Source organism: Homo sapiens, chromosome 17 (genome assembly GCF_000001405.40).
Source record: "Homo sapiens chromosome 17, GRCh38.p14 Primary Assembly".
Taxonomy (NCBI): domain Eukaryota; kingdom Metazoa; phylum Chordata; class Mammalia; order Primates; family Hominidae; genus Homo; species Homo sapiens.
This window is the reverse complement of record NC_000017.11, coordinates 63,819,371-63,842,802: the sequence shown is the minus strand read 5'-3', so window position 1 is coordinate 63,842,802 and position 23,432 is coordinate 63,819,371. Positions and strand designations below refer to the sequence as shown.

Here is a 23,432-nt window from a genome sequence, read left to right as displayed (position 1 = left end):
CCGGATCGACAAATCCCGGAACCCGGAATTAAGATCGCCAAGTCCCGGATCGCGGAGCACAGAGCACGGAGTGGACTCGACGCGGAGCCCGGAGTCCGGATCGCGGCACCGCGGGACGGGACGGAGCGATGTCGGGCCGAGGCGCGGGCGGGTTCCCGCTGCCCCCGCTAAGCCCTGGCGGCGGCGCCGTGGCTGCGGCCCTGGGAGCGCCGCCTCCCCCCGCGGGACCCGGCATGCTGCCCGGACCGGCGCTCCGGGGACCGGGTCCGGCAGGAGGCGTGGGGGGCCCCGGGGCCGCCGCCTTCCGCCCCATGGGCCCCGCGGGCCCCGCGGCGCAGTACCAGGTGAGCAAGGAGGACGCGAGCGGACGGGGGCGAGAGGCGCTGCGAGGGCGCCCGGGCCGGCGGCTGAAGGGGCCTCGAGTGAGGGCCCTGGGGAATGCATGAGGAACTCCGGGAGACGGTGGAGGGCGGGCCGGGACCCTCGGGCTGCGGCGGGTCGCGGTGGAGAAGTGGGAAGGGGAAGCAGGTTCTGCAGCGGAGGGCTGGAAGCAGCTGGGAGGCCTGGGGGCTTCCGCGGCACAGGGATTCCGAGTGACTGGGAGATGGAGGAGTTTGGGGAGCCAGTGAATTGTGGCGGGTGGGTTGAGAAGTCTAGGGTAGGAGGGCTGGAAAGTGATGAGAAAGTTTGGGAAAGGGCCCTCGCTGAGAAACCGGGGTTACCCTGCATCGGCCTTGGTCCCAGTCCAAGTCTGCCCTGTTTTTTCTGATTGGGAACTGGCGGAGCTCTAGCGTGTCTGAGATGGCTCCCGGCTGCTAATAAGGAGGAAGGAGCCTGGCTTCCCACGGGCACGGGACGCTGAGGCTAGGGCCAGGGGATTCCAGCTTGTGCACGGGCGGACTTTACTCCTGAGGCAGGGCCAGGCGCCTTCGCTGGGAGGACTCCAGCTTAGACCAGAGACGGTGGTGGCCTGGCCTGAGGGGAGGCCCAGCCCAGTCACAGGCCGGCTCTCTTCTGGGCTTTCTGCCTCCTGTCATCGTGTCCGGGAGTTGATTAGTCTGGACGTGCAGAGTGGAGCCCTGCTGGTCTGGGGCCGGAGGAGTCTGCGAGAGTTGCTTCAAAGAGTGCTGTCCTGACCCCTTTGGGGTTTTGAGAGCTGCTCAGATTGCAGCTTCAAAAGCCCTTGCAAAGCAGCGACTTCTGCTCAGTGTGTGAGGACCTCAGCCTGACCCTGCCAGTGCTCTAGTCTGCTGTTCAGGTTGCCCCAGAGGGCTTGGAAACTGTGCCCATCTGCCTTGTCACCCTCTCTGCATTTTTATTTGGCCTTCAGGTTCTAACTCCACCACGTCCGAAGCCATGTGCCCAAGCATTTGACACTGGCTTCTTGCTCATCTACGGGTTTGCTGTGGGCTTCCTCTGTTTTCGACTCATGTCTCCAGGCAGAGGTCCTTAGGGATCCTCGTGGAGTATACACAGCCTACCTGCCCCACTGGGCCCTCACTTCTAAGGAGATGGCTTAACTAGGGACAGTGACTGGATTTTTTTTTCCTTCTTACTCCTCATTCTTCCTCCTTTCTCAAGAGAAAAGAGAGTCTGGGTATGGGCAGAGACAGACCTGGTCCCAGGGATTCCAGCTGGGGCTCATCTCTCCCACCTTGCTGTCCCCGTTGGGGATTCATGGGCCCAGGGTGTTGCTGAGGGCTCCCTGCATCATTCATTGTAGCCCTTGGGCCTGCCCACTGAGACCTGGCCTGGGCACCATCTGTGGGCCTTTGGCCTTGGAAGGACCTGGAACAGACAAGCCGCTCCAGTTTCCTTGGCATGCAAGCCATAGGAAATGTGCCCTTGGGACAGCCCCTGAGAGGATGGATTCCACATGTTTTGGTGGGGGGTGGCCTTGGGCCTGTGGCAAGGCCAAGCTGGCTGGCTGGTTAGGCCTGGGCTGCTAGCTGTGCGGAAGTAGGAGATGGCCCTGAGTCTGGGTTTCCCATCCCACTAGCTTTCCTCCTCCTGGCAGGAGAGGTAGATGGGAAGGAGAACCCAGCCAGCTAACTTTGGCTGAGTTTGAAGAGGATCCTATTTGCCTTCTTTCCAAGTCCAGTTGTATGACTGCCAGGAGAAGGGACTTGAGATCTGGGAAACAAAGGGGTTCCTGTCTGTTAGGGCTCATGAGATGCACTTGAAAAGTGAGAATTTGAGGCCCAAGCTGAGCAAATAGTTGAAAGAAGGGAAGTGATGACCTCCCTTCCTCCAGAGGGTGGTTCTAGCTGTGGATCACAGTTAACAGAGGAACCTAAAAAAAGAAAAAGAAAAGAAAAAAACCTCCAGGGCAGGATATGGTGGGCTCACACCTGTAATCCTAGCACTTTGGGAGGCCCAGACAGAAGGATTACTTGAGACCAGGAGTTCAAGACCAGCCTAAGCAACATAGTGAGACCATCATCTCTTAAAAAAAAAAAAAAAAATTTAGCCAAGCATGGTGGTGTGCGCTTATGGTCCCAGCTACTCAGGATGCTGTGGCAGGAGGATTGCTTGAGTCCAGGAGTTCAAGGCTGCATTGAGCTATGATCCTGCCACTGCACTCCAGCCTGGGCAACAAAATAACAAAAACCTCAGATTGCTGGGTTCACTCCAGAGAGTTCAAAAAGTTCAAAAAAAAAATTTTTTTTTTTCTGATACGGAGTCTCACTCTGTCGCCCAGGCTGGAGTGCAGTGACATGATCTCAGCTCACTGCAACCTCCGCCTCCCAGGTTCAAACAATCCTCTGCCTCAAGCCTCCTGAGTAGCTGGGATTACAGGCGCCCACCACCACGCCCGGCTAATTTTTTTGTATTTTTAGTAGAGACGAGGTTTCACCATCTTGGCCAGGATGGTCTCGAACTCCTGACCTTGTGATCCACCCGCCTCGGCCTCCCAAAGTGCTGGGATTATAGGCGTGAGCCACTGCACCCGGCCTCAAAATCCTTTTTACTCATGGGAGAGTGGGTGGTATGTTCCCCAACTGAGGCCCTCAGGCCCAGGTTCCAGGAGCATCAGGGCCACATTTGGGGCAGGGCAAAGCACGCTCACCGGAGCCCTGGATTCCTCATCTGGGGTTCAGGGGATTGATCCAGGCCTACCTGGTCCTGCTGCAGGCAGGGAGTTAGGGAGGCTCAGAGTGCTGGACTGCTTTTTTTTTTTTCTTTAACTCCTGAGTTGTTTTTTTTTGTTTGTTTTGTTTTGTTTTGTTTTTTGAAGTGGGAGGAGTTGCTAGCGCCTATAAGCCCTATGGAGCTTGGCAAGGCTCAGCTGGGACTTGAACTATAAGCAGCCTTCCCCTGGGGCCCTGAGTGAGCCAGGGGCTCTGGGCCCAGGAAACCTGGAGCAGATGTCTGGGTGGAGCCTATTCCAGACCCTGCCTATGAGGCCTTGTCTTGGGACTTCCTGTTACCGGAGCACCTGCCCAGGAGGGATGGGTGGTGCTGCAGGTTTTGTGAACACTGCAGCAGGGAGCTTCCTGGGGACCACAGGGCCCTCGCTCACCTCTGCAGGACCCACTGCTTCAGTTCTTCCCTGTCTTTGTCTCAGGCACTAGGAAAAACTAGTCTGGGATGTCTGGGCCTGGGCTTACAGCTGTAGCCACACTTAGTTTTTTTCTATAATCTCAGGCCAGAGAAAGAACAATCTTTAAGGCAGAGAAAGAGGCTGTCTTTTGCCTTTCAACAGCTCTGATTAATCTCTTCCTGATGCAGAGAGACTTTGGCAGGACTCCCAAAGCCCCAGAGCCCCCCACTTTGAACTTTTTATTCTCCCAAACACTTCCGTCCCACCCTGCTCCTCCTCTCCCCATCCTCACGTCTGTGGGTCATGTTTCTTTCCATCTCCGCATCTGGTCAAGAATCTGACCCTCTGTGTTGGGAACATGGGTTTAGTGCGGGATGAAGAGGTTGGGGAAGAATCTCATCTCCATGATGCTGGGGTGGGGGAGGGTCCTTTGATTTGGTACAAGTCTCCACCCTGCCGGGCTTGGTTGGCTGGTTGTGCTCGTTGCATAATCTGGGCCCTGGGGCCAGCCCTGTGAAGCTGCCAGGGACAGTGTGTGCAAGGCAGAGCTGCCAAACAGGCCTTGCAGGCAGCAGCCATGGGGAGGCGGGTGGGGGTGGAGGTGACTCCCAGATGGGCTCCACAGAAATGTCAGGGAGCAAGGCCTCAGGTGGGAAATCCTTCTGCAGGCATCTAAAGAAGCTATTTCTGTCTCCCACTTTCCTGCTGCTCAGCCTGGGCCTCTATCCTTGCCTCCCAGGATAATCTTAGCCCCCTTCTCCAGCTTGGGATTGCCAGGGCTACACGGAGCCAGAGCCAGTCCTGGCTGCCAGGTGGTGCCTGGACCACTGGCAGAGTCCAGGTGCTAGCTGCTCTCTTTCCCACAGGCCACCCAGGAGCCATAGCTTCCCTTCTGGGGTCTTCTGTCATAGGGGTAGTAGTTGGGCAGTAGGGAGGTAAGAGGAGGGTCCAGTTCTGGGCTGTGGGTGGGGGCTATGTGATACCAGACTACAGGGTACAGGGTCCCTGTACCCTGCCCGAGGCCACCCCCACCAGCTGGTACACGTTCCAAGCCATCCTGTTGCAGCCCTGCTCACCTGGGGTGCTGCTGCCTACCAGACCCCTTTCTCCCTCGGCCACAGAGGATGGGGATTGGGGCTCTGCGCCATTGGCCTACTCATACTATAGTACACTCCTCTGCCTGGCAGTGACACTGCCCCTGTGCCTCTCAGCCATGCTTCTTCTTCATGATGGGAGAAAGAGAAGGAGGGCAGGGCTTGGCAGGACTGTCTGAGAGAATAGGGACCAGCTTGCCCAGGGAATAGGGCACAGCATGCTGGGGCTGGAAGGTAGCAATGGGCCCTGAAAAGCTCCCCAAGGCCCTTCCCTCTGCAGGCAGGACCCTCCTCCCAGCCCAGGTTCTGGCAGGCCTCATTCGCTGGCATGGCTGCCAGGGCGGTTGCAGGGGGCAGGGCAGGTGTGGTTTACACTCTGTGCTCAGGCGCCCACTCCCCTTTGTTCCTGGGGCTCCAGCAGGGCTCTGGTGTGCTGCTCAGGCCCTACCTGGCTGACGAGAGGGATGGAGGGCATGGGCTATGGGTCCCGGAGGGCCTTGCCCCTGACCTATGCACCCCCGTTGGCTCACTTCCCCCAGCGACCTGGCATGTCACCAGGGAACCGGATGCCCATGGCTGGCTTGCAGGTGGGACCCCCTGCTGGCTCCCCATTTGGTGCAGCAGCTCCGCTTCGACCTGGCATGCCACCCACCATGATGGATCCATTCCGAAAACGCCTGCTTGTGCCCCAGGCGCAGCCTCCCATGCCTGCCCAGCGCCGGGGGTAAGAGCATCCTGCTTCTCTCACTCTGCCTAACTCAGCTCTGGTGGTAGCAGAGGGTTTCCTTCTATCTTAAGAGCTTTGGTGACTGAGGATGACTCCAGGCTCTCCTGGGGGAGAGGGTCCTGGAGACTGGAGGGGCGTTATGGGAGTGAGTGTCCTTTTTTGGACCATTGACCTCTTAAGTGGGTTTCTGTCCTCCCCAGGTTAAAGAGGAGGAAGATGGCAGATAAGGTTCTACCTCAGCGAGTAAGTGTTAAGAGGACACCTGGGAGGCCTGCCCAGTGGCCACCTTGGGGTGGGTGTCCATCTCTCTCAAAGCTGGGCTGCAGCAGGAAGGGAGGAAAGAGCCAGGCTTTGGCTGAAGCAAGCTGATGAGCTTCTGCTACCTTCCTTCAGATCCGGGAGCTTGTTCCAGAGTCTCAGGCGTACATGGATCTCTTGGCTTTTGAGCGGAAGCTGGACCAGACCATTGCTCGCAAGCGGATGGAGATCCAGGAGGCCATCAAAAAGCCTCTGACAGTATGTGTGGCCCTGACCACCTCTAGCCTTCCCAGGTTTCCTTGCCTTCCACCCCCTTGTTTTCCAGGGGCCAAGCAAGTTGGGCTAGAGCCGGGTTTTTCACATGCAGGATGCAGCCCACTAGTAGAGTACGAACTCAGTTGAATGTGTTGGGGCCAGTATGTTTTAAATGAATATATGACAGTAGAAAATCTTAAAATACTTCACAGTAGTACTTACCATAGTAGTAAATGGATTCTTTCATGACATTTTTGTTTCTGATAAATAGATATGCAGACCTTGGGTCATAATTGAAAATGTAAATCTTATGGGTGGTGGTCAAAAGTTTGAAAACCACTAGACTAGGGGATAAAGGTAGTTCCTTTCTCCTTCCCCTTCCCCATCCATAGAGAAATTTTCTTTTTTTTTTTTTTTTTTTTTTCTGAGATGGAGTCTCGCTCTTTCACCTAAGCTGGAGTGCAGTGTTGCGATCTCGGCTCACTGCAACCTTCGCATCCCAGGTTCAAGTAATTCTTCTTGCCTCAGCCTCCCGAGTAACTAGGATTACAGATGCCTGTCACCACGCCCGGCTAATTTTTGTATTTTTAGTATCGCCATGTTACCCAGGCTGGTCTCGAACTCCTGACTGCCTCGGCCTCCCAAAGTGCTGAGATTACAGGCGTGAGCCACTGCACCCAGCCGAGAAGCTTTTCTTAATAATAATGTAGAACAGTCCCGAGTGGTGAAGCCTTTCCAGGGGACTAGGATATTTTGGAGCCGTGATGGGTGTTTGGGTTTCATGTAAGATGTGAGCCAGAGACTGGCTGCGTGTTACTCCATCATGCCGTAGCACCAGTCCCACTGTGCTGGCATTGTTGGTGATGCATCTCTTTCCCCATAAAATGGTGAGTTCCGGCCAGGTGCGGTGGCTCACACCTGTAATCTCAGCACTTTAGGAGGCCGAAGTGGGCAGATCACCTGAGGTCAGGAGTTTGAGACCAGCATGGCCAACATGTTGAAATACCATCTTTACAAAAACACAAAAAATTAGCTGGGCATGGTGGTGCGCACCTGTAGTCCCAGCTACATGGGAGACTGAGGCAAGAGAATCGCTTGAACCTGGGAGTCAGAGGTTGCAAGTGAGCTGAGATCGCGCCACTGCACTCCAGCCTGGGTGACAGAGTGAGACCATGTCTAAAAAAAAAAAAGGCTGGGACTGGGACTTACTACTTCTGATTCCCAGTACCTGACAAGGTGCCTGGCTGGCTCATGGTGCTCAGTACTGATTGTTGAATGGTTCATATGAGAAGATGCGGTAGCACTGTGTCCCAGCATCTTGGTCCACCTCCAGTTGTGATTGCCTTTCTCTCTTTAGCAAAAGCGAAAGCTTCGGATCTACATTTCCAATACGTTCAGTCCCAGCAAGGCGGAAGGCGATAGTGCAGGAACTGCAGGGACCCCTGGGGGAACCCCAGCAGGGGACAAGGTGGCTTCCTGGGAACTCCGAGTGGAAGGAAAACTGCTGGATGATGTGAGTTGGGGAGGGAGGTTCTGGAGGGAAGGAGGCCTGTGTGGGTTTAAGACTGAGACCAAGGAGTTTGATACTAGCCTGAGCAGCAGAGCCAGACCCCATCTCTACAAAAAATTTAAAAATTAGCTGGGTGCGGTGGCATGCACCTGTAGTCCCAGCTACTCATAAGGCTGATGCAGGAGGATGGCTTGAGCCCAGGAGGTCGAGCTTCAGTGAGTTATGATCACACCACTGCACTTCAGCCTGGGTGACAGAGTGAGATTGTGTCTCAGAAAAAAAAAGACTGGGCCAGACACTTGGGCGCTCCCAGAGAAGTCCTGCCATAGGGAGGGGGGCGCTGCTCCAAGCCCGTTGGAGGTTGATTTGTGTGGTTATTACAGTGTTCCTGCAGATGGCAGTCGAGTGTCTCGAGGAAGTCCCTCGTGGGCTGCAAGAGGGCACCATTTCCCTGCCTCCAGTCTGCCCAGAGTCCTGCTTCCATCCTTCAGGGCCCAGGAATCTTCAGTATCCGGAGCTCCAGGGCTGAAATGGGGCTTCTCTTTCTTGGGATTTAGCATAGCTTGAGATTTGAGAGCTCAGCAGCACCATCTCACACCCCTTTCCATCCCCAGCCTAGCAAACAGAAGAGGAAGTTTTCTTCATTCTTTAAGAGCCTCGTCATTGAGCTGGACAAGGAGCTGTACGGGCCTGACAATCACCTGGTGGAGGTGAGAGTGGGCCTGGGGCAAAAGCAGGCTGATGTGCAGGTTTGGCAGGGAAATGGCCTCAGGGCCCTTGGGAGGCCCTGTGTTCACGCCCACCCCCTTGGTGATAAGCCATGCTTCCCTCCCTGCCAGTGGCACCGGATGCCCACCACCCAGGAGACAGATGGCTTCCAAGTAAAACGGCCTGGAGACCTCAACGTCAAGTGCACCCTCCTGCTCATGCTGGATCATCAGGTGACAGAGACCCTGGGGTCATTTCTGGGCCCACAGGGACCCCTCAGGAGGGGAGCTGGTTCCTAGAAACCCTTCCTGTCCCTGCCCTATTTTCCCACTGTTCTACTATAAGAACCCGTTCTGACTCCCCTCCATCCAACTCCAGCCTCCCCAGTACAAATTGGACCCCCGATTGGCAAGGCTGCTGGGAGTGCACACGCAGACGAGGGCCGCCATCATGCAGGCCCTGTGGCTTTACATCAAGCACAACCAGCTGCAGGATGGGCACGAGCGGGAGTACATCAACTGCAACCGTTACTTCCGCCAGGTTAGCCAGATGCCAGCCCCCGTTTTCTCAGCCCTTGCTTTGCCTTGCCTGCTGGGCTACTCCTTGGCCACAGCCTGCAGACTGCTGCCCTCACTGGTCCTGGAATGGTCCACTCCACTGTGCCCACAAGCCAACGCTGAGCCTTTCGTATTTCCTCCAGATCTTCAGTTGTGGCCGACTCCGTTTCTCCGAGATTCCCATGAAGCTGGCAGGGTTGCTGCAGCATCCAGACCCCATTGTCATCAACCATGTCATTAGGTAAATGCAAGGAGGGGGACAGGAAGGCTCTTCTAAGAGCAGATTCACCCTTGGCTTGAACTAAAGCCAAAGAAAGCATCAGGTTTCTTTTTCCCTGAGTGTGTGCAGAGAATGGGCCCCAGATTTGGCCCAGGTGGGCAGGATGAAGTCAGCTATGTGCCTTCCCTCCCCATGTGCTGCCTGCAGTGTCGACCCTAACGACCAGAAGAAGACAGCCTGTTACGACATCGATGTGGAGGTGGACGACCCACTGAAGGCCCAAATGAGCAATTTTCTGGCCTCTACCACCAATCAGCAGGAGATCGCCTCCCTTGATGTCAAGGTGGGCCCTCTGGCTCCACAGCTTCCTCTGGGGCCCAGGATTGGGGTGGGCTGGCTCTGTCCAGCATTTCCATACATGTAGCACCTGGAGGACGGGATGGGAACTCTGGCTCAGTTGCTTGCATGTAAGCTTTGGGGGCACAGTCTGACACAGGTACCCTCTCCAGATCCATGAGACCATTGAGTCCATCAACCAGCTGAAGACCCAGAGAGATTTCATGCTCAGTTTTAGCACCGACCCCCAGGACTTCATCCAGGAATGGCTCCGTTCCCAGCGCCGAGACCTCAAGGTGTAGTCCTCTTTCCCGAGGGGACTCCTATGTAAAGCTCTGGGTGATTTTTACCCACAGCAGTTCCCAGGGTGGATTAGCCCAGGGGTGGGGATTATGCTATGGCTTTCCTCCTGGCTCTTTGCAGATCATCACTGATGTGATTGGAAATCCTGAGGAGGAGAGACGAGCTGCTTTCTACCACCAGCCCTGGGCCCAGGAAGCAGTAGGCAGGCACATCTTTGCCAAGGTGAGGCTCTGCCCTGTTTTCCCTCCTTTGGCCGTGAGTAGCAAAGGCCTGAGCCACTTGGTTTCTCCCTTCTCCAGGTGCAGCAGCGAAGGCAGGAACTGGAACAGGTGCTGGGAATTCGCCTGACCTAACTGCTCAGGGATCTTTCTTCCCAGCCCTGGAGCCTGGAGGGAGACCACCCTCTGGGTCCTTGCTGGGGCCGCAGACACGTAGGCTGGGGTGAGGAGTGTCTGCTGTCACCCTCTACTCTCCAGCTTTAGTCTTATAAATGTAGTGATAGGATTCCTTGTTGCTTGGTCCCCAAAGCCTTATACTTTTTGCATTGGCTTTAATTGGGTTCAGCAGATGCCTCCTCTGCCCCCCTGCAGGCAGGCCCAAGTAGGACTGCTGGAGGCTGTGCTTTGACATTGTAAGACATTTCCGAACCAAAGGCTGCTGGGTTTGCATGTTTACAGACTCCCCCTGGGGCGAGGGTCAGAGCTGGCTCTGGGGAGCTGGGCTAGGAAGAGGAGGTGCAGCCCAGACTCTTCCTAGCCTTTCTAAACCAAAGTTCTTTGCCATTCCTACAAGCCCAGCCTTGCTGCTGGTTTTTTCCTTTCCTTTGGGTATTTGCACTATTTTGGGAGCAAGTTTTCTATGTGGGAGCCACTTTTTTTGTACAGGGGTAAGTTGGGGGTTTTCAGGGAGCCTGTTAGGTGCCTCCTTCTTTTCTTTCCTCAATCTATGCAAGCGGCTCTGGCCGCCATCATCTCCTGGGATGCCAGAGGGCTGCCTCTCCAGCGGCTTGGGCCGGGGAGGGGACACTCCAGTTCTCTAGCATGGCCTGAGGTATGGGGTATGTGCATGTGGAGGCCAGGGTAAGGTGAATGGGGAGGCTGGGAGGACTGGTGTTGCCCTTTGGAGCTTGGTGAGGAGGGTGGGCCTAGGGCTTGGCGAGTGCCACATCTGGCAGGTTTGGAAATTTCCAAATAAATCCTTTTGTCTATTGGTGGTGCCTGGACCTGGTCCTTGAACAGCACAGCCCTCATTAACAGACTGGAGTCCTAGAGGACTTGGCCCACAGAGCTTTATTGGAGAGATACACACAAAGGCTGTCCACTCACTTCCATAATTTCTTGATGGACATGTTTTTCTCACTGTCCTTCTGCATGACCTAGGGGTGGGAGAGAGAATGAACATTAAGTTACGAACACACACATGCCCTAGCCCACTGCCCCAGAGCCACCACTGGCAAAGGCACAAAGATGGAGGCCTATACCTTGGCTACTGCCATCTCAAAGTCCTCCTGAGTGACATGGACTCGCCGTTCTCGCAGGGCATACATGCCAGCTTCTGTGCACACGCCCTGAACAGGAAAAGGAAATTGAGGCCCCACTGCTGTGCCCCTCATCTGTGGCCCTTGAGCCCAGAGCTTCCTGCCTCTGCCCTGTTTTCAGTGGGTACTCCAATTACCTTCACTTCAGCCCCTGATGCTCCTGGCATGAGCTCAGCAATTTTTCTCAGGTTGATCCCCCGGGTCAGGTTCATCTTCCGAGAATGAATCTTCAAAATGTCCAGCCGGGCCTGGAGATGGCAAGGAAAAGCCTGAGCCCCACACCCCACCCCCACAGCCAGAGCCACTTTGCACAGTGTCCATCACAAACCTCCTCATTGGGGGGTGGGAATTCAATTTTTCTGTCAATGCGCCCTGGGCGAAGCAGTGCCGAGTCCAGGATATCAATCCTATTAGTAGCCATGATAACCTGAGCAGAGAAAGCAAGTGGGGATCAGCTAAACCTCTTCCTCAGCCTGCGTGGCACCCAGGCCTTCCCTGGGCCCATCCCAAGGATGCTACCACCTTACCTTGATGTTCTTGGTGGCCTCAAAGCCGTCGAGCTGGTTGAGCAACTCCAGCATCGTGCGCTGCACTTCACTGTCCCCTCCAGAACCCCCCTCCAGCCGCGAGGAGCCGATGGAGTCGATTTCGTCCATGAAGATGATAGATGGAGCATGTTCCCGTGCCATGACAAACAGCTCCCTCACCATTCTTGCCCCTGTGTGGAGGCCGAGCTGGTGTTAGGGAGCTTATTAGCTTATTAGCTCTCTAACCCCCTACCCCTACCTCTTGCTTCTCACATTGCTAGCCATGGTTACCTTCCCCTATGAATTTCTGTACCAGTTCAGAGCCAGAGACACGAATAAAGGTACAGTCCGTATGATGAGCCACAGCCCGGGCCAACAGTGTCTTCCCAGTGCCTGGAGGTCCATACAGCAGCACTCCCTACAGGGGAACAGCAGGACTCAGGGCAGAAAGCTACACCCCTCATTTCATTCAGTGAACATTTACCGAGTGCTGGGTCCCTTGCTAGATGTTAGGGATACAAAAAAAAAAAAGGAACATCAAGGTCCCTTCTATCCAAACCACCTCACCGCCCTAGGAACACTTCCCCAGCCACTCTTTTCAGGGGGAGGGCCAGCCCAAGCAAGATGCAGCCTATCCCGGTGCCTCCCCAACCCCTGCAGTAGGGCTGGCTGGGGCAGGAGGAGTAAGTACAGCTTGGCCCTCTCAGAGAAGCCCTGCTCCTCACCTTGGGCTGAGCAATGCCCAGTGCTTCGAAGAGCTCAGGATGCTTAACAGGCAGCTCGATCACTTCTTTGATCTCCTTGATCTGTTTGTCCAGTCCACCAATCATCTCATAAGTTGAATCTGGTACTTTCTCCACCATCATCAGTGACACTAATGGGTCTACCTTGTTGGGCAGGATCTTGTGCAGAGTGTAGCTGTCATTCCTTAGAGCCACCCGGCAATTGGGTGTCACCTGGGTGAAGGGGGCGAGTTTCAGAAGTGGTACAGTAAGAGCTGACCCCACCACCACCACCACCTCACCTGCTACACTCACATCATTGATGTCAATGTTTTTGTCCACGTCTACAACAAATTTACCTTCAGGATGTACCTAAAGAAACAAGGGCTCATGACCTTCCTTGACAGCCACCAAATCACTAATCCTACCCAGGAAGACCTATGAGAATCCCACAATACCTTGACAGAACACAGAACCCTGTCTCCCGAGGCTACACACAAAGGGGTGGGAATGCAGTGGAGACCGAGCTGGTCCCTGGGGTCATGCTGCTTTTACCTTGACCAACACTTTCTTCTTATCCATGGCCCGGACTACTTCCCCCACATAGGAGCCCTGCTCCTGCAGCAGCTGTAGCTCCTCCCGCAATAGGCGAACTAGATGGCAAACAGACACAGTGGTCACCTAGCTACTCCTTTGGAGTCTCCAGGACCCAATTCTACGTGCATGAGCTAAGCATCACTCTTATTAAAGGAAGGCCAAAGGTCAAAATTCATGTATTTAAGGAGGCTACAATAGGGCTCAGGAAAAAGAGATGCATGTGAAACTACTAGATGATGACAGGGAGAAAACAGTAAGCACTGCTGTGAAGACACAGTGCAGGGAGATAAGGACAGACCTCAGACAAACTGCCCACATGCGGCTTCCCATCTTTCTCCACTCACCTTTAGCATTTAGTTCGTTCCTCTGTGCCTGCAGCCTCCGGAGGTTTTGGCTCTTATCATTCACAATCAGCTGTGGCAGACAAGAGACAAATTCCATTATTCAAGGGCAGGAGACAGGAGGAGGTAGGATCTTGGCCAAGACCTCACAGGTCTGAATGAGCTGAGGGAAGGGCACAGGGCACCTGCATGTTGTTTCAGATTCTCCAGTATGATCCTAATGACCCTGCCCTGTCCTTCAAGAGTCCCTCTGGACCTTACAGCAGCCATCAAAGAAGGCTGCTTGTCCAATACTGGTCCAGGAGTAACAGAATCTAATGGAGAAAAGTTACAGCTGGCTCATGTAACACCAAATTTCTTGCAGGAAGGCAACAACACCTGGTGGAAAGATTGTTAGGTGAGAAACCTGAGTTCTAGCCCAGCCGCTGTCAATCAAAAGCAAAGTAAAGGTAAGACAATCTATTTTTAAAAATCTAGATCTGTTACCAAACGGCACATGGGTATAGCATCAGCTACCCTGCTTCAAGACTACTAAGGTGAACGAATAAAAACACATGAAAAAGCATTCAAAAATGGTAAACTAAACATAATACCTGCAAATGCACTTGGAATTCAGAATTGTCTTTTGTGGCTTTCCCCCATCCAATTTATATTACAGTTGACACTTGAACAACGCAGGGGGTTAGGGTGAAATTGAAAATCCATGGACCTGTCCAAAGTTAAACTACTAACAGCCTACCGTAACAGTATAACGTAACACTAACAGACTACTGTTTATGTTGTCTGTAAGGCTTACTACTGGAAGCCATACCTTACTGCTGGAAGCCTTACTGGTAACACAAACATTTGATTAACAACATAAACGGTCCTTTTTCTATGGTTTAGCGCTTTAGGCTAGGGCTCTGGGTTGCCCAATTTCTTTCATTCAGTCTCTATGGAATTAGCATTGTCCAGATCCCTCAATGATGCCCTTCCTCACATTCTCACTTCACCCTCACCCAACCTCTTGGTGATAAATTTCAACTCCTGAGCTTATGTTTCCCTTTTATAAGAATCCTTTTCATTCGGGCTTCTTCCAAAAGGGTTGACCTTTGGCTAGAGGTACCTTTACTATTAAGATTTGACTCGAAGATGTGTAACAAACTGTGAACACTAAGACCCTCAAAGAGATGGGACTGGAGGAGAACAAGAGATTGCTTACTTCTGATACATACACCCTACTAGCTAAGAAACAAACAAGAAAGGAGAAGCAGCAGCTTCTTCCACTGCACTCCCAAAGGAATTAGATGGATTTGTGGAAGTCCGTTTCCATCCCCCATCATCACCCTTCCTAGCTCCCTCTGGAGTCCGTCCTCACCTGGAGTTCTTCAATCTTGGACAGATAATATTGGCGGAGTCCGCTGCCTGCCTTCCCCTCCTCCAGCTCCATCTGAAGACACAGAGTGAGTCTTAAACGACAGGTTAAACATCCGAGGGGGTAAAGCCACTTGCAGGGCACTTTGAATAAGGCTTGACACCAGGTAGCTTTGCGTAGTAGAAAAAGTTTGGACTTCGGAGGCTCAGGATCTGGGTTCTAATCCCTCCCTCCCTTGGAACCCTCCATTTTCCCAGGACTAAAATAAAAGAATGGGAACGCCGCCTACCTCATACGACTTTTAGGAGGACCGAGAGGCGATATGATATAGACGGGGGGCGCTTTGCACTGCGTGAAGTGCTCTACAAGCCCGAGGTGTCAGTACTGACGAAGGAGCCAGCGGAACGGAGCCAAAGGACTGGCGTCCCGTCTCCTGCGACCCGTGGGCCGGCCATTCCCGCGCCCATCGCTTCCCTCACTCACTCCGCTTCTACCGCGTCTTCCTCTCCCAGCCTTGCCCTGACTCACCGAGGGCGGCGCTGACACAGCAGATCCGGTCGCAGGCAGCGTCCAGCATGGACTGGTCCAGGCACCTCCGACCCACCCGACGCTCCTGCCCCGGCCCGCTCTCCACTCAGATCACGCTCGCTCCGCACCCAGCCCCGTAACCTGCCGGGCCGCCACTGCACCCGCCATACCTGCTCTGGTCCGTCAAGCGCCATCTTCTCTCTTCAGCAGAGACCGCCGGCATCCGAGCCGTCTTGGCGCGCAAGCGCGGAAGCGGAGGATTGGGACCTGAAGACCAGGCAGAGAAGAATTCCGGGTCAATGGGCGGGGTGTGCGGCGAGACCACACTAAGGGAACCATGATGGGAGGGGCGGCTACTCGAGTTCAGGGGCTTTGGAAGGGGATGAGGAAGGAGTAGAACTCCTCCTCAGTGTTGCCTCATTGAAACTCTGTTTATAGTTCTTGTGATATGCCTTCCTAGTCTCAACTTTCAACTTACAAAACCCAAGGACAGAGTATTGAGAACAATCTAGGGCCACACTCAAAATGGCGGAAAACCTCGAGCCAGGGACGCAGGGGACGCAAGCGGAAGCGGAAGTAGTTAGCTGCATACTTGTGCGGTTCCAAGTGTGGAGAAAGCGGCTCTGGGTCTAGGTAGTGTGCGGAGAGGGGCGCGGGGTGGAATTGCTGCGGGAAGTGGGAAACTGGAAGTGGGAAACTGGAAGTGGAATCTGGTGCTCCGGAAAGAGACGTTCCCAACTTCTACTTTCTCCCCAGATTGAGGGATACTCCCCCTTTCCACCATGGGCAAGAAGGGCAAAGTTGGCAAGAGCCGACGAGACAAGTTTTATCACTTGGCGAAGGAGACGGGTGAGTCCGGATTCGCTCAGTCTGCGAGCGAGCGAGCGATCTCTGCCCGGTTCGCCTGCTCTTTGCGACCATTATGTACCTCTCCTGCAGAAGGGGTGGTCGGTTGCGAGGCCGGAGAAATCCTACTAGTGAAGCAGTTTGCGCACTTGGTTGTTTTGTCCAGGTTACCGTTCCCGATCTGCTTTCAAGCTGATCCAGCTCAATCGCCGCTTTCAGTTCCTGCAGAAAGCCCGAGCCTTGCTGGACCTGTGTGCTGCGCCAGGGGGATGGTTCGTAACACTCGCCACAGGTTGCTCCTGGTGGCCGCTTTCTGGGTTCTGAGCTGGGATGGCTTCCAGTTTCACTGCGGGAGGGGAACCCGAATCCCGGTCCTCTTGGGGGCCGTTTCCTTTCTTGATTGCAGAGAAAGGGCTTGGAATACGTGCCTATGATATGCTTTGGCCAGTACACGTAACACCAGGGATGAGAGATCAGTTGCCAAGAGGGGGAAAAGGATGGCTCTAGGTTTTTAAATTTCTGTTCCTTTTATAGGCTGCAGGTAGCTGCCAAGTTTATGCCTGTATCCAGCCTTATTGTGGGTGAGTAACGGACAGCTCTCCTTGGTGTTTTAAGGGGTGGGTGTATAAGGTATTTTGTCCTGTATTTCTCTCCTCCCTGCTTGAAGCAACCTTTTAGAATACTCTGACCTGATTTCTTCCAGGAGTGGACCTGGTTCCAATCAAGCCTCTCCCCAATGTGGTGACTCTCCAGCAGGACATCACAACAGAACGTTGTAGGCAGGTAATAGGAGTCTCTCTCTTCCTTCCCCCTTTATACGGAAACATCTACATCCCTGAAATCCTCTAAAGGCAAGTTTTTCCTTTTTACCGTGCTTTGAGCACGTTCTTGCCTGACATCTGTACGACAAGACCTATGGCATTCGTAGTGTCCACTCCAGGCTTTATTTAGAGTCAGGGATAAAGGTGTTTGGAATTGGGAGAAGGGCAGAGATCTTTAGTGAAGTCTTCTCCTGTGAATTCAGTGTCAGACTGTAATCTCCATGAAGGTAGAGACATACTGTTTTTGTTTACTATTGTATCTCCTGTGCCTGGTACTGCATTTGGCCCATGATGGGCACTCAGCAAATGACTAGATGGACAAATGGCTGAACCAGGGCCATTCCAGTGTTTCTGTTTCCATAGTTCCTTTTCTTCTCTTTAGGCCCTGAGGAAGGAGCTGAAGACCTGGAAGGTTGATGTTGTGCTCAATGATGGGGCCCCCAACGTTGGGGCTAGCTGGGTCCATGATGCTTACTCACAAGGTACAGGGAGTGTGGTGCTTGGAGATCAGGTGATGGTGGAGGTGGGCGCATGCCCTCCTGGGCTGCAGAGTGCGTCAACTAATTGTCTCTATCCTACAGCCCATTTGACACTGATGGCTCTACGTTTGGCTTGTGACTTTTTGGCCCGTGGTGGCAGCTTCATCACAAAGGTTTTCCGTTCTCGTGACTATCAGCCTCTGCTATGGATCTTTCAGCAGCTGTTCCGCCGTGTCCAGGCCACCAAGCCCCAAGCCTCTCGCCATGAATCTGCAGAGATCTTTGTAGTCTGCCAAGGTGGGCATCATTTCCTTTCTCTTGATCCAGGCTCCCAACTCCCAAAGCACACTTTTTAATATATCCTGTCATTTTTAGGATTCCTGGCCCCTGACAAGGTTGACAGTAAATTCTTTGACCCCAAATTTGCCTTTAAGGAGGTTGAAGTTCAGGCTAAGACCGTTACTGAATTGGTTACTAAGAAGAAGCCAAAGGTGTGTTTTGGGGAATGGGGTCACTCTTGGGTCCTGGAACTCTAGGGAGGTTGGGCCTGGTGGGTCCTACAGGTACCTTAGAAGGGCCTGACCAAGCTTCTCTCTTTTCCTTCCTAAGGCTGAAGGCTATGCTGAGGGTGACCTCACTCTCTATCACCGTACCTCAGTCACTGACTTCCTCCGAGCTGCCAACCCTGTTGACTTCCTCTCCAAGGCCAGCGAAGTGAGTCTCCAGCCTTGAGGGACATGAGGTAGCCCCAGAAACATGGCCTGAGGATCTCCCCTGACACCTTTCCATCCTCCCAAACAGATCATGGTAGATGATGAAGAGTTGGCACAGCATCCAGCTACCACTGAGGACATACGGGTGTGCTGTCAGGACATCAGAGTGTTGGGGCGCAAGGAGCTCAGGTATGGAGTGGGGTAGGCACGGGGGCCAGGAGCCCTGGAGGCAGGGAAAGGCCATGATGTTGGACCTCTGGGAAGAGGATATTGCTGTGCTAAAGGTTTGGGATGGGGGCCTGAGCCTTTTGATTTATGTAGCCGAAGCCCGAAAGGTGGGTAGTGAGCCTAAAACAGAAGGGGGCGGGGACAAAGAGGGAGATGGCAAGATCAGTAATAGTATCTCTGGGGCAGGTCGCTACTAAACTGGAGAACAAAACTTCGGCGATATGTGGCCAAGAAGCTGAAAGAACAAGCAAAGGCACTGGACATCAGGTGAGGAGAGAACGCAGCGAGGCAGGTGTGGACTGGGTGTCCAGGGGAAAAGTCTGGGAAAATAACCCAACTCTTGGGACTGTTTTGCCAGCCTCAGCTCTGGAGAGGAAGATGAAGGTGATGAGGAGGACTCAACAGCTGGAACCACAAAGCAGCCCTCTAAGGAGGAGGAGGAAGAGGAGGAGGAGGAACAACTGAACCAGACCTTGGCAGAAATGAAGGCCCAGGAGGTGGCGGAATTGAAGAGGTGAAAGGAGCTGGGGTAGAGCTTGGAGTTCCCCAACGCAGGGACTGTGTGAAGATGGGAGAAGAAAATGCAAGGCATGGATAGAAACTTTGGAGCTGGGCCGGTTTTACTCCCTCAATCCACCCCCTCAGGAAGAAAAAGAAGCTGTTGCGTGAGCAGAGAAAGCAGCGGGAGCGTGTGGAGCTGAAGATGGATCTGCCTGGGGTTTCCATTGCAGACGAGGGGGAGACTGGCATGTTCTCCTTGAGCACCATCCGGGGTCACCAGGTGAGGCGGCATTGGGGGTGCAGGTTTAGGAGACAGAAGGATCTGTTTGGGTGTTTGGAGGTGGGGGGTGTTGAATGTCTTTTTAGGTTGCCGAACGATAGGCTGTGGTTGCTGTCTTCACCACAGGGTGCCTTGGTGAGTATAAGGCCACAAAGAAACATAAACCAAAAAGGATGAGTTAGGTAGATAGATGAGTGTGATAGATTTATTTTTTTTTTTTTTGAGACGGAGTCTTGCTCTGTTGCCCAGGCTGGAGTGCAGTGGCACGATCTCGGCCCACTGCAAGCTCCACCTTCCAGGTTCACACCATTCTCCTGCCTCAGCCTCCCGAGTAGCTGGGACAACAGGCGCCTACCACCACGCCTGGCTAATTTTTTGTATTTTTAGTAGAGACGGGGTTTCACCGTGTTAGCCAGGATGGTCTCGACCTCCTGACCTCGTGATCTGCCCACCTCGGCCTCCCAAAGTGCTGGGATTACAGGCGTGAGCCACCGCGCCCGGCTGATAGATTTATTCTTGAAGAACTAGAACATCAGAAAAGAACTTAGGTTATAGTAGATGCTGCCAGGTTACTTGAGTTTCAAGCACAGATGAATAGAGGATCTCCCTCAGAGGGGAGCAGCATTCTTTAGTTCATTGAGACCAAGTGAGCACTCGCATTAGGGTACTTCCACTGAATACTGAAGAACATGTTTTTCCTGACAAAATCAGGGTCACAAACAAAATGAACTTTTGTGGCTTATGTGTGGGAGTGTCATAATCAGGTCATCTTTGTTGTACAGGAGGGCAGTAGAGCATGGTGGCCCTAGAGCAGACACAGGCTCAGGTTTCCTTCCCAGCTCTACCACCTGGAGCTTTGTGAAGTGACTGAGCTGACTACCACTTATCCTTGCTGCCTCAGTTTCCTCATCTGTAAAACAATAATAGAACCTACCTACTAGAGTTTTTGGTGAGGAATAAAAAAAGATAGGTGTAATCCCTCATATGTGATAAACACTCAAGAAATAGTAGTTGGAGTTTTTCCTTTGAGACAAGATCTTGTTTTGTCACCCAGGCTGGAGTTCAGTGGTGCCATCATGACTCACTGCAGCCTCAAACTCCTGGCATCAAGCAATCCTCCTGCCTCAGCCTCCCAAAATGCTGAGATTACAGGTGTGAGCCACCATACCCAGCCTAGTATCTTTACCATGAGGAAAATAAAAGGTTCTGACAATTGGTTTAAGTGGAACAGTTTTGTTGGATGTATGTTGGCTGGGCCCCTTTTATTCAGTGGAAACAAACTGTGTAGACGGTATTCTCAGGAGATGATTGAGATGCTGTCTGAGAATAATTTTTAAAGGAAAACCAGTGTTGTAGAATATGTTAAGATTTGGTGCTATGTGGGCTGTAGGTACCTTCCTTAAGACCTATTTGTGATACCACTGAGACAAGACAGCTGAGTGGGATAGATCAGTAACCCAGCCTAGAACGGGATGTTGTAAACAGGCCATTCACTACCCTGGATCTGAGCTTTCCCATCTGTGAAAGGATAATGGATTTGCCAGTGTTCTTTCTAGTGTTGCTGAGCATAGACTGAGGTGAGGGACACAGAAAAAAAAACAGTATATTTCCTTTTAAATAGTTTACCTTTGTTTCTGTTACACTTCAGTTATTAGAGGAAGTAACACAAGGGGATATGAGTGCAGCAGACACATTTCTGTCCGATCTGCCAAGGGATGATATCTATGTGTCAGATGTTGAGGACGACGGTGATGACACATCTCTGGATAGTGACCTGGATCCAGAGGAGCTGGCAGGAGTCAGGGGACATCAGGGTCTAAGGGACCAAAAGCGGTAAGGGGCACGTGTGCACCAAAGGGAATGCTGCCACTCTGAGGAAGTGTTAGGGTGGGTACTACCAGAGCCTGAGTAGGGCAGCAAGGGCTCCAGGCAATCTGGGTCTCTGAGCCCCCTACTTTCCTTTGGGTCTACAGTATGCGACTTACTGAAGTGCAAGATGATAAAGAGGAGGAGGAGGAGGAGAATCCACTGCTGGTACCACTGGAGGAAAAGGCAGTACTGCAGGAAGAACAAGCCAACCTGTGGTTCTCAAAGGTAAGGAGAGGCCGGGGGCAAGACTGCGGGGAGATGAGTCTTCCTTGGGAGAAGGGCAGCTGATGTTCTCCTATCACAGGGCAGCTTTGCTGGGATCGAGGACGATGCCGATGAGGCCCTGGAGATCAGTCAGGCCCAGCTGTTATTTGAGAACCGGCGGAAGGGACGGCAGCAGCAGCAGAAGCAGCAGCTGCCACAGACACCCCCTTCCTGTTTGAAGACTGAGATAATGTCTCCCCTGTACCAAGATGAAGCCCCTAAGGGAACAGAGGCTTCTTCGGGGACAGAAGCTGCCACTGGCCTTGAAGGGGAAGAAAAGGATGGCATCTCAGACAGTGATAGCAGTACTAGCAGTGAGGAAGAAGAGAGGTGAGTAGTTGCAGCTGAGAGAAGGGATGGAAAGGAAGCGGTGGCTTGAACCATTTCTCTAAATTGGGGGTTCTTAATCTTGGCTGCACATGGGGAGGGTTAAAAATACTGTACTGACGATCCTGATTTAACTGGTCTGGGGTACAGCCTGCATGGCAGGATTTTTGCAAATTCCGTGGGAGTGCGGTCTGAGTAGTACAGAGTGGTGGAATCACTCAGAGTCCTCCCCTCTTCACAGCTGGGAACCCCTCCGTGGTAAGAAGCGAAGCCGTGGGCCTAAGTCAGATGATGACGGGTTTGAGATAGTGCCTATTGAGGACCCAGGTGAGAGCTCTGTATGCAGTGGAATGAGAAAAGACCACTGGAAGTCTCAGTATTGGGAATTGAGCTTTGACCTTTCTCCTTCCCTCTCTAGCGAAACATCGGATACTGGACCCCGAAGGCCTTGCTCTAGGTGCTGTTATTGCCTCTTCCAAAAAGGCCAAGAGAGACCTCATAGATAACTCCTTCAACCGGTAAAGGGGCCATAAACTCATCAAGAGTGACCCAGGGTCTGGTGGGTAAATGGGTAATTTTTTGTTTTTGAGATGGAGTCTCGCTCTGTTGCCCAGGCTGGAGTGCAATGGCACGATCTTGGCTCACTGCAGCCTGATTCTCCTTGAATCGCTTGAGTCAGCCTTCTGAGTAGCTGGGATTACAGGTGCCAACCACCACGCCCAGCTAATTTTTGTATTTTTAGTAGAGATGGGGTTTCACCATGTTGGCCAGGCTGGTCAAACTCCTGACCTCAGGTGATCTGCCCACCTCAGCCTCCCAAAGTGCAGGGATTACAGGCGTGAGCCACCGTGCCCAGTCTGGTAATTTCTTTAGAAAGCCTGGAATGTTGGATATTAGACAGATGTCCTTTCCACTCAGGTACACATTTAATGAGGATGAGGGGGAGCTTCCGGAGTGGTTTGTGCAAGAGGAAAAGCAGCACCGGATACGACAGTTGCCTGTTGGTAAGAAGGAGGTGGAGCATTACCGGAAACGCTGGCGGGAAATCAATGCACGTCCCATCAAGAAGGTGGCTGAGGCTAAGGCTAGAAAGAAAAGGAGGGTAAGTGATGGGGCCTCCAGAGATTGGGTGGGGTGGGGGTGGGGGGATGGGGAAGAGGTCACCTGACAGGTTCCTTTGCAGATGCTGAAGAGGCTGGAGCAGACCAGGAAGAAGGCAGAAGCCGTGGTGAACACAGTGGACATCTCAGAACGAGAGAAAGTGGCACAGCTGCGAAGGTAATGGGAGGACACCACAAAGGTACACAGGGCTAAAAGTGCAGCAGAAAGCAAGCCTCTAACCTCTTCTCTTCCCCCCTGTAGTCTCTACAAGAAGGCTGGGCTTGGCAAGGAGAAACGCCATGTCACCTACGTTGTAGCCAAAAAAGGTGTGGGCCGCAAAGTGCGCCGGCCAGCTGGAGTCAGAGGTCATTTCAAGGTGGTGGACTCAAGGATGAAGAAGGACCAAAGAGCACAGCAACGTAAGGAACAAAAGAAAAAACACAAACGGAAGTAAGCAGAGCTGCCAGGCTCCCAGGAGAGCATGGGGACTAGGAGGAAGGGTGTGGCATGGCTCAGTCTGGCCCCCTTGATTACCGGCCTAGCCCCTGCTCACATCACAGCTGTCTGAAGAACAGTGAGGTGGAGTGCCTAGAACTCCCGTGGTGGTCCTGAGCAGAGAGGAGGATGTCCTCCTGCCTGCCTGAAGGTCTCCCATGAAAACACTGCTGAACTGTGTTGACACTCATGACCCTTTTTTTAAACCGTTAAAGGGAAGTTCGGTGTTGGAGCGATACTCAATGTAGTCAGTCTACACCTGGACGTGTGGGCCACTTAAGCCCTCCCCACCCCCATCCTATTCCTGAATAAAACCAGGATAATGGAAGAGTTGTCTTTTCTGACAGTTTTAATAAGCACTTCCCTATCTGTCCCTACACTGTGTGCGGC

At 53.1% G+C, this 23,432-nt stretch overlaps 3 protein-coding genes across 8 annotated transcripts, besides 9 other annotated features; 2 read left to right on the top strand and 1 right to left on the bottom strand.

The window, feature by feature from the left end:
- Positions 118 to 10,722, top strand: SMARCD2 (SWI/SNF related BAF chromatin remodeling complex subunit D2). 3 transcript variants are annotated; one of them, NM_001098426.2, is made up of 13 exons: positions 118 to 344; positions 5,178 to 5,362; positions 5,566 to 5,608; positions 5,759 to 5,881; positions 7,236 to 7,391; positions 8,003 to 8,098; positions 8,228 to 8,329; positions 8,475 to 8,636; positions 8,797 to 8,894; positions 9,081 to 9,216; positions 9,383 to 9,505; positions 9,633 to 9,734; positions 9,812 to 10,722. In NM_001098426.2, exons 1-13 carry the CDS (start codon positions 129 to 131, stop codon positions 9,863 to 9,865), a joined length of 1,596 nt encoding a protein of 531 aa, NP_001091896.1. In that variant the 5' UTR covers positions 118 to 128; the 3' UTR covers positions 9,866 to 10,722. The 3 variants fall into 3 exon arrangements, with proteins under 3 accessions (NP_001091896.1, NP_001317368.1, NP_001317369.1); NM_001330439.1 differs by having other exon boundaries at positions 337 to 422; NM_001330440.2 differs by lacking the exon at positions 118 to 344 and adding an exon at positions 4,075 to 4,193.
- Positions 166 to 395: a silencer, noted in NCBI's record as "silent region_8832". NCBI's record gives its function as "represses an Ori minimal core promoter by ATAC-STARR-seq in GM12878 lymphoblastoid cells {active_cell/tissue: GM12878}" and the evidence as "EXISTENCE:reporter gene assay evidence [ECO:0000049][PMID:35858748]".
- Positions 1,116 to 1,195: an enhancer, noted in NCBI's record as "active region_12564". NCBI's record gives its function as "activates an Ori minimal core promoter by ATAC-STARR-seq in GM12878 lymphoblastoid cells {active_cell/tissue: GM12878}" and the evidence as "EXISTENCE:reporter gene assay evidence [ECO:0000049][PMID:35858748]".
- Positions 3,220 to 3,514: an enhancer, noted in NCBI's record as "tiled region #8123; HepG2 Activating non-DNase unmatched - State 14:Gen5'". NCBI's record gives its function as "activates a minimal TATA promoter and a strong SV40 promoter by Sharpr-MPRA in HepG2 cells {active_cell/tissue: HepG2}" and the evidence as "EXISTENCE:reporter gene assay evidence [ECO:0000049][PMID:27701403]".
- Positions 3,220 to 3,514: a silencer, noted in NCBI's record as "tiled region #8123; K562 Repressive non-DNase unmatched - State 14:Gen5'". NCBI's record gives its function as "represses a minimal TATA promoter and a strong SV40 promoter by Sharpr-MPRA in K562 cells {active_cell/tissue: K562}" and the evidence as "EXISTENCE:reporter gene assay evidence [ECO:0000049][PMID:27701403]".
- Positions 7,601 to 7,760: an enhancer, noted in NCBI's record as "active region_12563". NCBI's record gives its function as "activates an Ori minimal core promoter by ATAC-STARR-seq in GM12878 lymphoblastoid cells {active_cell/tissue: GM12878}" and the evidence as "EXISTENCE:reporter gene assay evidence [ECO:0000049][PMID:35858748]".
- On the bottom strand, positions 10,784 to 15,372 carry PSMC5 (proteasome 26S subunit, ATPase 5). 3 transcript variants are annotated; one of them, NM_002805.6, is made up of 12 exons: positions 15,289 to 15,372; positions 14,594 to 14,665; positions 13,240 to 13,309; positions 12,854 to 12,951; positions 12,614 to 12,670; positions 12,302 to 12,532; positions 11,868 to 11,994; positions 11,577 to 11,767; positions 11,378 to 11,476; positions 11,187 to 11,297; positions 10,993 to 11,079; positions 10,784 to 10,887 (listed from the first exon to the last, which is right to left on the bottom strand). In NM_002805.6, the coding sequence occupies exons 1-12, from the start codon at positions 15,310 to 15,312 to the stop codon at positions 10,834 to 10,836; spliced, it is 1,221 nt and encodes a 406-aa protein (NP_002796.4). In that variant the 5' UTR covers positions 15,313 to 15,372; the 3' UTR covers positions 10,784 to 10,833. The 3 variants fall into 3 exon arrangements, with proteins under 3 accessions (NP_002796.4, NP_001186092.1, XP_047292379.1); NM_001199163.2 differs by lacking the exon at positions 15,289 to 15,372 and adding an exon at positions 14,880 to 15,082; XM_047436423.1 differs by lacking the exons at positions 10,784 to 10,887; positions 10,993 to 11,079; positions 11,187 to 11,297; positions 11,378 to 11,476 and having other exon boundaries at positions 11,577 to 11,783.
- Positions 14,828 to 16,027: an enhancer, noted in NCBI's record as "BRD4-independent group 4 enhancer chr17:61904136-61905335 (GRCh37/hg19 assembly coordinates)". NCBI's record gives its function as "activates an origin of replication core promoter dependent on BRD2, P300/CBP, MED14 and CDK7 cofactors, and independent of BRD4, by STARR-seq in HCT116 cells {active_cell/tissue: HCT116}" and the evidence as "EXISTENCE:reporter gene assay evidence [ECO:0000049][PMID:35650434]".
- Positions 14,982 to 15,031: an enhancer, noted in NCBI's record as "active region_12562". NCBI's record gives its function as "activates an Ori minimal core promoter by ATAC-STARR-seq in GM12878 lymphoblastoid cells {active_cell/tissue: GM12878}" and the evidence as "EXISTENCE:reporter gene assay evidence [ECO:0000049][PMID:35858748]".
- FTSJ3 (FtsJ RNA 2'-O-methyltransferase 3) lies at positions 15,140 to 23,370 on the top strand. Of its 2 annotated transcripts, NM_017647.4 has the most exons (21): positions 15,140 to 15,751; positions 15,875 to 15,967; positions 16,131 to 16,236; positions 16,499 to 16,545; positions 16,668 to 16,747; positions 17,168 to 17,267; positions 17,367 to 17,561; positions 17,640 to 17,755; positions 17,874 to 17,978; positions 18,066 to 18,166; positions 18,392 to 18,472; positions 18,564 to 18,719; positions 18,851 to 18,986; positions 20,635 to 20,819; positions 20,960 to 21,080; positions 21,160 to 21,449; positions 21,688 to 21,773; positions 21,865 to 21,964; positions 22,365 to 22,548; positions 22,630 to 22,724; positions 22,809 to 23,370. In NM_017647.4, exons 2-21 carry the CDS (start codon positions 15,901 to 15,903, stop codon positions 22,999 to 23,001), a joined length of 2,544 nt encoding a protein of 847 aa, NP_060117.3. In that variant the 5' UTR covers positions 15,140 to 15,751; positions 15,875 to 15,900; the 3' UTR covers positions 23,002 to 23,370. The 2 variants fall into 2 exon arrangements, with proteins under 2 accessions (NP_060117.3, XP_024306330.1); XM_024450562.2 differs by lacking the exons at positions 20,635 to 20,819; positions 20,960 to 21,080; positions 21,160 to 21,449; ... (3 more) ...; positions 22,630 to 22,724; positions 22,809 to 23,370 and adding an exon at positions 20,041 to 20,214.
- Positions 15,412 to 15,691: an enhancer, noted in NCBI's record as "active region_12561". NCBI's record gives its function as "activates an Ori minimal core promoter by ATAC-STARR-seq in GM12878 lymphoblastoid cells {active_cell/tissue: GM12878}" and the evidence as "EXISTENCE:reporter gene assay evidence [ECO:0000049][PMID:35858748]".
- Positions 21,779 to 22,978: an enhancer, noted in NCBI's record as "CDK7 strongly-dependent group 2 enhancer chr17:61897185-61898384 (GRCh37/hg19 assembly coordinates)". NCBI's record gives its function as "activates an origin of replication core promoter dependent on BRD2, BRD4, P300/CBP, MED14 and CDK7 cofactors, with strong dependence on CDK7, by STARR-seq in HCT116 cells {active_cell/tissue: HCT116}" and the evidence as "EXISTENCE:reporter gene assay evidence [ECO:0000049][PMID:35650434]".
- Positions 23,371 to 23,432: the final 62 nt, after the last annotated feature.

What these genes read in the sequence shown, in the direction of transcription:
- SMARCD2 (NM_001098426.2), top strand. Translation starts at nt 129, where the DNA reads ATGTCGGGCCGAGGCGCGGGCGGGTTCCCGCTGCCCCCGCTAAGCCCT. An exon ending in GCCCCGCGGCGCAGTACCAG is followed by an intron (nt 345 to 5,177) that starts GTGAGCAAGGAG and finishes CACTTCCCCCAG; the next exon opens with CGACCTGGCATGTCACCAGG. An exon ending in ATAAGGTTCTACCTCAGCGA is followed by an intron (nt 5,609 to 5,758) that starts GTAAGTGTTAAG and finishes ACCTTCCTTCAG; the next exon opens with ATCCGGGAGCTTGTTCCAGA.
- PSMC5 (NM_002805.6), bottom strand. Translation starts at nt 15,312, where the DNA reads ATGGCGCTTGACGGACCAGAGCAG. An exon ending in CCAAGATTGAAGAACTCCAG is followed by an intron (nt 13,310 to 14,593) that starts GTGAGGACGGAC and finishes TGTCTGCCACAG; the next exon opens with CTGATTGTGAATGATAAGAG. An exon ending in GAACGAACTAAATGCTAAAG is followed by an intron (nt 12,952 to 13,239) that starts GTGAGTGGAGAA and finishes TTTGCCATCTAG; the next exon opens with TTCGCCTATTGCGGGAGGAG.
- FTSJ3 (NM_017647.4), top strand. Translation starts at nt 15,901, where the DNA reads ATGGGCAAGAAGGGCAAAGTTGGCAAGAGCCGACGAGACAAGTTTTAT. An exon ending in CCATGATGCTTACTCACAAG is followed by an intron (nt 17,268 to 17,366) that starts GTACAGGGAGTG and finishes TCTATCCTACAG; the next exon opens with CCCATTTGACACTGATGGCT. An exon ending in GGTCTAAGGGACCAAAAGCG is followed by an intron (nt 20,820 to 20,959) that starts GTAAGGGGCACG and finishes TTGGGTCTACAG; the next exon opens with TATGCGACTTACTGAAGTGC.